Source organism: Homo sapiens, chromosome 15 (genome assembly GCF_000001405.40).
Source record: "Homo sapiens chromosome 15, GRCh38.p14 Primary Assembly".
Lineage (NCBI taxonomy): Eukaryota > Metazoa > Chordata > Mammalia > Primates > Hominidae > Homo > Homo sapiens.
In genome coordinates, this window is record NC_000015.10 from 57,552,190 (window position 1) to 57,563,937 (window position 11,748).

Here is an 11,748-nt window from a genome sequence, read left to right on the forward strand (position 1 = left end):
TCTCCGTCAATAAAGAAAGGCTGGAGTGTGTGCCCCTCACTGGTTATGAAAGCTAAGAGAAGTGCAAGTCGGAGAGACATTCAACAGTAAGTTGAAGGTAGTGTGGGGGGAAGGTTGCAAGGTTCCCACTGCGCAGGATCTTACTTGGTCTCACAACAGTTGTCAACAACTCCCAGGGGATGGGAAATGTGATTCCAGAGGTTTGCAGGGTAAATGCAATTAAACAATTTTTGAAGAAAGGTGGAAACTGGTTTTTTGGGAGGTAAGGAAGCTAAGTCTCAGGGAAGTTGGGCATTTTGCCATCAGCCGCACATAGAGTAAGTAGCCAGCCCACAATTAGCACCTGCCAGTGTGGGACAGGAACCGCCGGTGAACAAGGTTTAGGCCACGGTCTAGGACCTTTAGGTGCTTACAGTAGGGCTACAAAATCGTTATGAAACTAAGTGGAAATGACCTGTCAATATTAAGTCCTTCATATATTTATGTGATGCCAAACGTGTCTGTTTTTCCTTGTGCTTTGCTAGCTCTCTATCTGCAGTCCATACCCACTGTTTTCCCTGAGACCATATATAATTCCACAGCTAATGTGTTGCACTCACTTGCTAGGTACCAGGCATTGCCTAAGCCCTTTATGCCTATTGGCTCACTTGATCCTCACGATCATCCCCTGAGTAGGTCCTGTTGTGACAAGTGAGGCAACCCAGGCAGAGGTTACTAACCTAACCAAGGGCATGTGGTAGGATGTGGGGGAACTGGAATTGGATTCTGGGTCTGGCTCTGGAGTTCACACTCTGCTGCCTCTCACCCAGCCTTACACGTCCTAGAGGACATAGGTCTTTAATTTGGTCCCTGTATTAGGGGCTCCTACGGACTCCCAGTCATCCAGATCTCCCCTTCAATGGCCGGTTTCCATGCAACTCGACAGCCTGCTGCCTGCCTCCATCCTGAGCACAGCAGTCAGAGGCAGGTGGAGATGAAGTGAGCCATGGAAGCCACGGGTCTCATGGACGTGGCTGGCCAGGAAATCTTAGCTGTTCCTCTAGCCTGGCTGCTTTGGTGCCACTTACTGCTGTGATCTTTGGATCTCTCATTTTATCCTGAGTGCTCCCTTGCTGCCAGGCCACCCTGATTTCTCTGAGTCTGAGCTGCGTGGGGTGGCTGCTCTGCTTGGTCATTGGGCCTCCCCACTCTCTCACTGTATGGAAAGTGGTTTTGGGGCAACATCAGCAAGTCTTCGAGTTTGGGTGGTTTTCAGGGAACATTTATCTTCCCAACCCCCAGACTGCTTTGTGACGAAAGTCTCCTGTCGCTGTACCATAATAATAATAATCGTCGTGTGGTGCACATTACGTGTTAGTCTCACATGCAAAACTGCACTTGCAACCTGAAATCAGCAGACTGTCCCCAACAGAACACTGTCGACTGAAGTCCTAATCAGACCTCTAGCCCGAGTACTGGGTGTTGGGCTGGAGGCTGGAAACCTGGGCTTCGCAGCAGTGAGCTGTCTTCCTGGAGGTGGCAGCATAGTCTCTGCCAAGCCAGGGGAGTGGTCCCAGTGGGAATGGGCTCTGCCTCCCTGTGAGTGGGCAGGAGGCTGACCTGTGTCCAGACAGGGAGAAACCTTGTGGGTTACAGCAAGCTTTGGGACTTACGGGCATGTGCAGAGCTCATCTGGAAGGAGGCAGATGCCTGGGCCCCCAGCCTTTCCCATGAGTAGCAGGGCTACAGCTGTGGAAGTAGGACCAGCCTTTTGGCGCAGTGTGTGGTGGGCTGGAGGTGGGAAGGGTTGTGTGTGCAGGTGGTGGGTAGTGCCCCTGCCACACGTACAGATCCAGGGCATCTCCTCTGGACCCCTCCCAGGGACTGTAAAACTTTACTATGGGAACAGACTCAGTAGTATTTTGGGGCAGCGGGAATGGTTCTTTACTAATGCCTAAGATCACTTAACAGGGCAGAAGCCATAATTGGGCAGACCTTACGGGCCAAGAATCTTTTGCACTTTATCTGATTTAATCTGCACCCTGTGAGGTAGGTGGCATTACCCGCTTTCATGTGTTAGGAAATGTGTGTAAAGATCAGTAACTTGCCCAGGGTCACCCAACTAGTAGCTAAAGTGGCTAAAGTCCCAGGTCTGTCACTCTAACCACCCAGAGTGGCCTTACCCTGTACATTCTCACCCTGTACATTCTCACCCTTACCCTGTACATTCTCACCCTGCTGCCCCTCTGAAATAGTCACTGCTGGCTTCCCTAGCTGAGGACACTGGGCACAAAGGCTGGGCTTCTGGATTGCAAGTCTGTGCTTGCAGCCTGAGGCCCACTCTAAGGGAAGGCAGATGGCCTGCCTCTCCTTTCTGCAAAACCCCCTGCCACCTGCTGCGTGCTGCCAGCCTGACTCACTGACTCCAGCTACCTCTGGGCCTCTGGCCCTTCTAGGATGGGCTTGTTTTCCAGGAAAGGGTTTGGAGATTAAGATAAGCCAGCTGCCTCCAGTGAAAGGCCCTGCTGCCTTGGAAAGGGCCGGGAAGGCTGCCATTCCAGCTCCTTGGTTTGCTCGCTTCTCTCCGTGGCTGGGGCTGCCTCGCCTTTCATCCGTCCCTGCCTATCGTTGGGCATGAATAATGAGGCTCTTTGGAGACAGGCATAGGACTCCCTGCAGAGCGAGGGATTTGTAAAATGGGTGCCCAAGCTCCCTCTGGGGCTCCGGCTCCCTCATGTCTCTGTCTGTTCTTCCTGGGGAAGCTGCTGCTTGTATTTAGATAATGAAGAACTAGAAAACAGACCTGGCCTCCTTTCAACCTGCCGCTTCCTCCAGCCTGGGTAGGATCCAAAGCTCTGGCCTTCCTAAGCAGTGCTTGTTCCTGACTTACACATGGATGGTTTTCTAAACTAAGTTCATTTTCTGAAGCAGAGAATGAATAACTCACTCTACTACCTCCTCCCCTTCATGGCAAAATTTTTTCTTTTGTCTGTATTTTCACGGCTGCTGGATTCTAAAATCAAGGTGCAAGTTGCTTTGGGGCTTACTAAAGTCCCGTGGCCTTCCCAGGCCCTGTGGAAAGGTTAGATGCACCCCAGATAACCAGGGTTGGTTATTCCCTGTGAGAGAGTCAGAGGGGTGCAGGCTGGAAGCATAGCGCTCCTCCACCCCTGCGCTGGTCATCATGTGGAGCGTGTGCTTTCTAAGAAGTGCCAGCCTGTGTCCAGAGCCTGCTGGGCAGATGTTAAGCCAGCTGTGGACTTAGTCACAGTGACTCTGCTACCAACAACAGCAACATGGACATTTAGGGAGGAGCAAATGAGAGGAAGGAAGAAATAGGCAAGATAACAAGGCTTGACATCTGATCTCTGGGCATTTCCAATGGAGGGATTTGGTTTGTTTATGTTTCCACCACCAAGAATTAACAGTGGTTAACAGCTGTTCATATCTGTCTGCTTTACATTTTTAAATAAACATTACAGATAAAATTGAAGTTCTCTTTTTGTCCCTCACTCCCTGCCAAAGGCAACCACTATTCTCAAATCTGCTGGGTATTCTATTCAATTTTATTTTTACGTGTATGCATCCATGAACACCATGTAGTATGTTTTGTGTGTTTTAAAATGTCATATACATCTCAGCGTCTTGTATATAGTACTCTGACTTTTACATTCAAAATTACATTTTTTTGAGGCCTATGTTGATGTAGATTATTTAGTCATTTGTTTTTCTTTTTAATCACTTTATTGCTTGAGTACATAGACAAATTTATGCAACCAGGGCGAAGCTGTAGATGGTTCATATTTCCAGCTGGGAGGGAGGACTCGCTTGGTTTTATAATATCGAGCCAGACGGTGAATCCGGCTCTCTATCAGAATCAGAAGGAATTTAGCATCCTTGTCTTTTCTGCTCCTCTCAAGATGCTTTTGAACAGCGACTGCTTTCTTAATTAAGTGGTAGAGATCTTCAGGGAGATCAGGAGCAAGTCCCTTAGACTTAAGAATTCTTATGCCTGTCACAAAACGCACTTTTGCAGCACCATGTCAGTCTCTCAGGATCACACCGATTTGTGGAGGAGTCAGGCCCTTCTTGGTCAGTTTGTAAATCTGCTCCTTCACATTGTCAGATGTCAACTTCAGCCAAGTGGGGACGCTGTGGTGATAGAGCAAAGCCGACTGGGACAGGCCCTTCCCGGGCACATGAATGTGACCCGTGACGGCGGCAGTCAGGCAGTGAAAGGCTGTTTTTATTTTTTTATGGTCATTTTTTTTGGCAAATTAAGTGTTGAATGTTGAGTTTTTAAAATACTGATTGCTTTATATGCCATCCGCTTCAAAAGGAGTTGAGTTCTGCTTCAGGCATGACATGGTAGCTGGTATCAAACTGAACTCTTCCTCTGGGAACAACTAGAAAAGGTGGGCAAAAATTTCTTAAAAGCAGTTGTTTGAAGACCTGGAAGAACAACCAAGACACTCTGATGTGGAATTGGCCATTGTTCTTCCCTGGCTGCTGTTGCTATGGGTCATGGTGCTCGCAGCCCTCCTTGGATGGTCGGATGGGTGAGAGGGTTGCTCACACAAATGCCCTGCAGTTTTTTAAAACAAAAGATCACCCCCTTCAGTTAGAAACTGAAGGTCGCTGTAGTGGAATCCAGACAGCAGAGTCTTTGGGTACGGGGAAGGCTGGCAGGGGGACACTGTGGAGCAGAGCCAGGGCAGGCCAGGCTGGGAGCTATATTGTAGGGTGCTCAAATTCTACCAAGATTCTAAAATATCTCAAGTGTAATTAGGGGTGCATTGTTTAAAAAATAGTCTAAAGGAAGTCAGTACCTTAGTAGCCACACCGGGGAGTGGTAAGACCCCAAGGGCTGACCTGATCAATGGCACAGTGACTGAACTGCACTGTAAGGAGAGGACCCAGGCAGGTAGTGTCAGGGTGAGGTTTGGTTGAGCTGGGATGTCCAAGTTTGGGACCAGAGCTGACCAGGCCTAAACAGTAAAAGAGGAACACCAAAAACTGCCCCGGAGGACTTCGTTCTCCATTTTCACCCCAGAACACTGTTTCCCCTTGTCCTTCCAGTATGGAGAATAAATACTAAAGAATATTGATTGGAAAGAACACTGAATTCTTGGCCTGTTTTGGGGGTGGCATTTTCAGCTTTCCTTGGGTGGCCACATGTCTAGTTTCAGGCTCACAAAGACCAAGGTCTCACCAGCTCTGTCCCCTGTGGAATGGTGGTGGCATCTTCTGTGTGATGGTGAATTTTAGATGTCAACTTGACTGGGCTAAGGGATGCCCAGATAGCTGGTAAAACATGAATTCTGGGTATGTCTGTGAGGGTGTTTCCAGAAGGGATTAGCCTCTGAATCGGCAGAACGAGTAAAGCAGATGGCCCTCCCCACTGTGAGCAGGCTCTGTCCAATCTGCTGAGGGCCCTCACTGAACAAAAAGGTGGGGGAATAGAGGATTCATTCTCTACTTAAGCTGAGACATCCGTCTTCTCCCACTCTGACATCAGCGCTCCTTGCTCTCCAGCCTTCAGACTCTGAATGGGACTTAGGCAATCACTGCTACCCGCCCCCCCACACCCCCATTCTTAGGCCTTTGGGCTTGGACTCAATTACAGCTTGCAGGTGGAAAATCATGAGACTTCTCTGCCTCTAACTGCATGAGCCGATTCCTATAATAAATCTCTCTCTCTCCACACACACACACCCACTGGTTCTATCCTTTGAGGATCCTTGATTAATACACTCATTCATCCCTTGAAACGCCCAACTCTGTTGTGGAATTGACCATTGTTCTTCCCTGGCTGCTGTCGCTATGGGTCATGGTGCTCGCAGTCCTCTTTGGATGGTTGGATGGGTGAGAGGGGTGCTCGCACATCCCTGGGCTAACTGGGGTAGTTGCCTTGTTCATTTTGCTATATCCCATTTGGACCCTTTATGATTGGAGTATGAACTACATTTAGCAAACTTTTAAGTTCAACCCAGGAGCTGGAATCCTTACATCCTGGGAGTAGCTCTTCGAACACTTTGGAACTAGAGGCATGCATGGTGGTGGGTGTTCTTAGGTACGCGTTTCCTAGATGGATGGTCCTGAAATGGTATGACACCTCAACTTGCCAAGAGGCCTCCCGTGTGTTCCTGCTTGGCAGGGGGTGAGATTGAAAAGATTCATTACTTCCTTTACATATTTATTTTTCTATATAGAATAAGGTAACTGTATTACTACAAATTTGGAAAATAACCCCACCATACTGATGCAACCATTATTAGCATTTTGGCTCATTTCTTTCCAGTCTTTTTTTCCTACACAGTTTTTAAAGCATAGGTACAACTGCAGTGTTTATATGATTTGTATATGCTTTTTTTGTCACTTAACATTATAGATATTAGATAATCTTGATCACTTTTTAAAAATGCTTTTTAAAAATACACTTAAAAATCACATCACATTGAGTGAATTCTGTCATCAGTTAACTATAATACTATTTGTATATTAACAAATGTGTAGGATTTGGAATTCTGCCTTCCTACATCAAATACTGTTATATCTGTAGCTTTTTCATCTTTCAAATAATTTGCTTTGGCTAGATGACCAGAAAGAGAAGAGGAAAGACAACATCTTTAAGTCTCTATAAAAGTTCCTAATGTGGTTTGGCTCTGTGATCCAAACTTTATGTTGAATTGTAATTCTCAATGTTGGGGGAGGCACCTGGTGGGAGGCGACTGGATTATGAGGGCAGATTCCCTCCATGCTGTTCTCGTGATAGATCATTCTCACGAGATCTGATGGTTTAAAAGTGTGTGGCACTTCTCCCCTCTTTCTCTCTCCTGTTGCCATGTGAAGATGTGCTTGCTTCACCTTTGCCTTCCACCATGACTGCAAGTTTTCTGAGGCTTCCCAGTCATGCTTCCTGTACAGCCTGCAGAACTGTGAGTCAGTTAAACCTCCTTCTTCATAAATTACACAGTCTCAGGTAGTTCTTTGTAGCAGTGTGAGAACGGACTAATACAGTTCCCAAGTTGCTTTTCAGAAGGGTTTACTAGTTTGTACAGACCCAAGAAATTACAAATGTGGCAGTTTCTCCCTTTCTCTCTCCCCTCAGCTTTGATTATTAACATTTCTTCCCGAATAATAGACTAATCTTTCTTTCATCAGGGCAGTCTTTTTATATTGTTAGTGAAGTTTCTTTTAGAAATTGTCGTTTTGTGAGTCTTTTTAATTTTTTATTTATTGTCTAGTGTGGTTTTTGAGTAGCACATAAAATAAATGCAGATAGTACAGGAGGGTAAAACAATGAAAAGTGAGTCTTCCATCCTTGGCGCTCATTTCTCCAGGCTCTACTCAGAGGCAGTCACTGTTTCTAGTTTATTTTGTTTCTTCTGCTTCTTGTACATTTTTCTCGGGGACTCCTGGATCCCTCGCCCTCTGGCTTCCCACTGCTTTTCTGGTTCTCTTTAAAGGGCACCCTACCCCCAGCTGCATTGTCAGGCTCAGTGCATCTCTCTTCCCTAACAGGTCCACAGTGGTCAAAACTCTAAACATATGAACACTTATTGGGGAAGGTAGTGAGGATGGGAGCCAGTGGGGGATGTGGCCTGGGAGGGAAATATTGCCAGATCTCATCTTCCTGAGATGGCAACAGGAGATTTGGACCAAAGGCTCTGGGTCTGTTGGGGGGATGGGGGGAACAGCATTTTCAACCAGGTGTTAGTAGTGGCTGCAGAAATGCGGTTTTCTGGGATCTCAGGTGGGCTCTTTAAAGAAGAGACTGATGGGTGATGATGGAAGCCTTCACAGTCCTGATGTAATAGCCGAGGTGGACAGCAGGGGGAGCTGTTGGACGCTTCTGGCCCAAATGTGGCACAGGAGTAGATTAGTGGCTCCTGTAATCCAGGGCCCCACCCATCAGTGGTGAAGTCCCAAAGAGGACTTTGGACAAAACGAAGCTTTGCCTTCCCAGTGTTGCCCAGGTGATCTGGTGTTCCTATGTTACTCTTAGGTGAACTGTTGCAATATTCGCATTGCAACAAATTGAATTCCAACATTTATTGTGAACTGCTATTTTGTGAGAGACCTATGTTATTCATGCATACCTTTCAAAGGGCAGTCACTATGCACCTAGTCTGCACTGGCTTATGCTGAGATGAGTAAGGCTCAGTTCTGGACCCAACGGGATCAGAAATGTCCACCGAGCACTAAAAAAACAAGGGATGGAATTTAAAGCACTATAAAAGAGGTATAGATGAAGTGTGGCGGAGGTTCATGATGGGAACGGCTGTCATTGGATGGAGCAATCAGGGCAGAATTCATAGAGGAAATGGCATTCGAAAGGGCTTTAAAATGGGCTTGAAAATTTAGAACTGTTTATTATGAAATTTTAATCTCCTAGAAGGGTGCATCTTTGGTGGAAAAAACAGAGGGAACACGGGGATGAAAGCTGGGCTCAGAGGATCAGCCAGTTGCATTAAAATCTTGAGTAAATGAAGTGGAGAATTACTGGAGGTGAGACTGGAAAACACGTTTGGATCCATATTTTTGGAGAACCTTGAATACCACTCTTAGTAACAAGGCAGCAGTAGCTGCTTATAATCAGGAGATTCTGGATAAAAAACAGAGGAGTTGGGGTTTATGCCTTCTTGTCATTTCTGAGAAGACGAGTAATTTTTTTAAAATAGCCAGTGAAATTAGTTCCTATAAAAGATGTGATCCTTGATCATCAATAAGGACAATCGACTTCTCCCAATGGAGAAATCTGATGATCCATTTCACACATCCCTGGGTGCAAATTACTACCTAGTCTACACTAGTGTTTCTCAAACTTCAGTGTGCATCAGAATAACCTTGAGGGCTTGTGAAAACATAGACTGCTGGCCCCACTCCCAGAGTTTCTAGGGCAGCCAAGAATTTGATGCCAATGCTGCTGGTCTGGGGACCACACTGAGAACCTCTGGGTTTAAACATCCTACCTGACCTTTCTCAGTATATCCACTGGGTGGCAGCAGAGAGCATCACAGGCACTGCACAGTGGTCAAACCTGGAAAGCCCGGGCAGAGGCTGTGGAGGACTATTTCTGTGTATTCAATGTAGGTTATTTTTGCTGCCAAATGACAATACAAACCATCCACAATATCAGGCTCTTCAAAATTCAAGGATGCGTTGTATAAGAGAATGATTGGTGACTTGGATCTTGTTCCTTTTCCAGGATGTCGTCACCACCAGACCCAGTCGAGACATCCTCTCTCTACCAGGCGCCCCCAACAAGTCCTTCCTTCAAAAAGAGAATAGTTTTTAATAACTTTCAAGGTCACCTGCAAAAGGGTTTCTGTTTGAGTAATGTAATGACTGTAAAGCTGGCAAAAAACTGTATCGCCAGCTGATAGCTTGAGTCAGACTGGAAAATTACGAGCAAATTTTTCCATGAACCAAGAGGAAGTGTCCAGTCATTGTTGAGAGCAGGTTCATAGCTGTGTACGAGCTCTAGGAGATGGGGAGGCCCGTGCAGACCTACTTCCTTCAAGAAGGGAAGACAAAAGAAACACGTTTTGAGTTTGGGTTTTTAGATGGTTGGGAAGTTTATGTTATAGGATTTTTTTTTGAGGGGGGGGTTTGTTTGTTGATTTTTGTTTTTAAGTTATGAGAGTTATTTTCTTTTTCTTCCTTTTTTTTTTTTTTAGAAGGAGTTTCACTCTTGTTGCCCAGGCTGGAGTGCAATGGTGCGATGTCGGCTCACCACAACTTCCACCTGCCAGGTTCAAGTGATACTCCTGCCTCAGCCTCCTGAGTAGCTGGGATTAGAGGCATGCGACACCATGCCTGGCTAATTTTATATTTTTTGGTAGAGACGGGGTTTCTCCATGTTGGTCAGGCTGGTCTCGAACTCCTGATCTCAAGTGATCCACCCACCTAGGCCTCCCAAAGTGCTGGGATTACAGGCGTGAGCCACCGCGCCCGGCTCTGAGAGTTATTTTCTACTAACCAATGATGTACTGCTAGATTTTGGAATAAAAGGTTCTATGTGTGTGGGGAGGGGAGGAAGGAGCAGAATCAAAAAGCCCTGAGCAATGATAGGATGGATTAGAGTTTGGAAAGGGAAACGTGGGGTCCAGAACACACTGGTTAGGCTGTGGCAAGGGGGTCCTCTTGACATCCTCTAACCAGATCTCACAGCACACTTCCTGCCATGTCGCAGCAGAGACCAGCCCTCACCAGACCCGGTGCTGACATTAACCAGGTGCTGCCCTGAGCGAGATGGCGTCCTGCCACGCCTGCTCCGTCATCTGGGAGATGCCTTGTCGGCAGCTCCAAGGCCTCCTGTGGGAAGGCATGAACGTCTGTCCTCACGTCCCTGCTTCCCTTATTACCCAGCGGTGGAAGTTCATCCCCCACTCTCCTATCTTCCTGAATTCATCCCATCCTTTGTTGGCCCTGTGTGTGGTTTCTTCCTGTACTCTCTTTTGTGGATTTTTGTAGAATTTCAGAAGTGATTGTGATATTAGATGTGATCATCTCTGCTCTGCCTGCTGCTGGGGATGTGTGGCACTGACCCACTCTCCCCATTTTCCTCATTGTGGCTCTATAGTCAAAAAGGCTCTTAGGCCCCTTCTAAGTTCTTTCTTCTCCAGGCTAACATCCTTTTCTTCTTTAAGTCCATTTTTAACATTGGTTGTGAGTTAACTCCTGACCTCTCCCCCTCTGTCTAGTCCATGCTGGTCACTCCCTCCTTGCTCTAAAAGTGAAGGTGCTGGTGGGAGCAGGACCTTCTGGCTATCCCCAGGCAGGCCCGTGCCTCCCTCGAGGCTTTGACATTGTGATGTGTGTGTCTCTTCACACCAGGGTGGGAGCCCCTTGAGGGAAAGAACCACGCCTTTCTCTCTCGGGAGAAAGCCCCTGTCAGACAGCAGGCATTTGAAATTAAACAGAACATTATAATTCTGGGTCCTAACCTTTATAAATGCAAGGCAAGACTAGATTATGTTAGCGGATTTGTCAATATTCATTTGGTTCAGTCTTATTGCACAGATAGGCAATTAAAGCATTTTAAATGGGCTGTGCTTAAGTGTGGTCCCCCTCTCATGTACTCCTATAGCAGGCTTTAAAACACTGCATTGCGCTTAAAGATCTGCTTCTTGGATTTGGGCTGTTGAGCTCTTTTCCTTCTTCCACATCATTCCCTCAACTTCTCAAGAAGTTGTCAACTTGAGATGCTGACACATTCTGCAAGTGCACAGGGACACAGCCCTAAGAGTGATCAGCTACCCCCAGTGCCCATCAGTGGTTCAGTGAAGGACGGCATCCCTGCTTAGAATTTGACCATTCAGTCTGCCGGTTACCAAAACCATGTTCATGCTTTAGTGTAAAGGTTTAGCATCAAGGTTACGTCCCAGGTGATGCTTCAAATCCAAACTTCCCCCTTCCCTGGGCTCCTGTGGTCTTTTGTTCTCTTGCAGCGCTTCCGGACTGTGGTTAGCTGATTATAGTTATTTTTTCCTACATCATTAGGTGGTGAGCTTCTCCGGGACAAAGTCTGTCTCATTATTCATCTTTGTTTGTAGCAGGTGCCTGACAAATACTGATAGAATTAAAATAACTTTTGTTTGTCTCACATTTTGATAAATGAACAGGGCTATATTTACCTGAACGTTTATGATTTCATACATGGACAGCATATTTCCTCTTGGGCTTTTCTCTTCCTAGACTGGATAGATTTAATGATTTTAGTTTTATGTCACAGGACAACCCTCCACCTGGAAGAACTGAAGT

At 46.5% G+C, this 11,748-nt stretch overlaps 1 pseudogene, besides 1 other annotated feature; it reads right to left on the bottom strand.

Annotated features, from left to right (window-relative positions):
* Positions 1,924–2,499: an enhancer, noted in NCBI's record as "H3K27ac-H3K4me1 hESC enhancer chr15:57846311-57846886 (GRCh37/hg19 assembly coordinates)". NCBI's record gives its function as "activates a minimal SCP1, AML or CMV promoter by ChIP-STARR-seq in primed H9 embryonic stem cells {active_cell/tissue: H9 hESC(primed)}" and the evidence as "EXISTENCE:reporter gene assay evidence [ECO:0000049][PMID:30033119]".
* Positions 3,716–4,219, bottom strand: RPS13P7 (ribosomal protein S13 pseudogene 7; annotated as a pseudogene).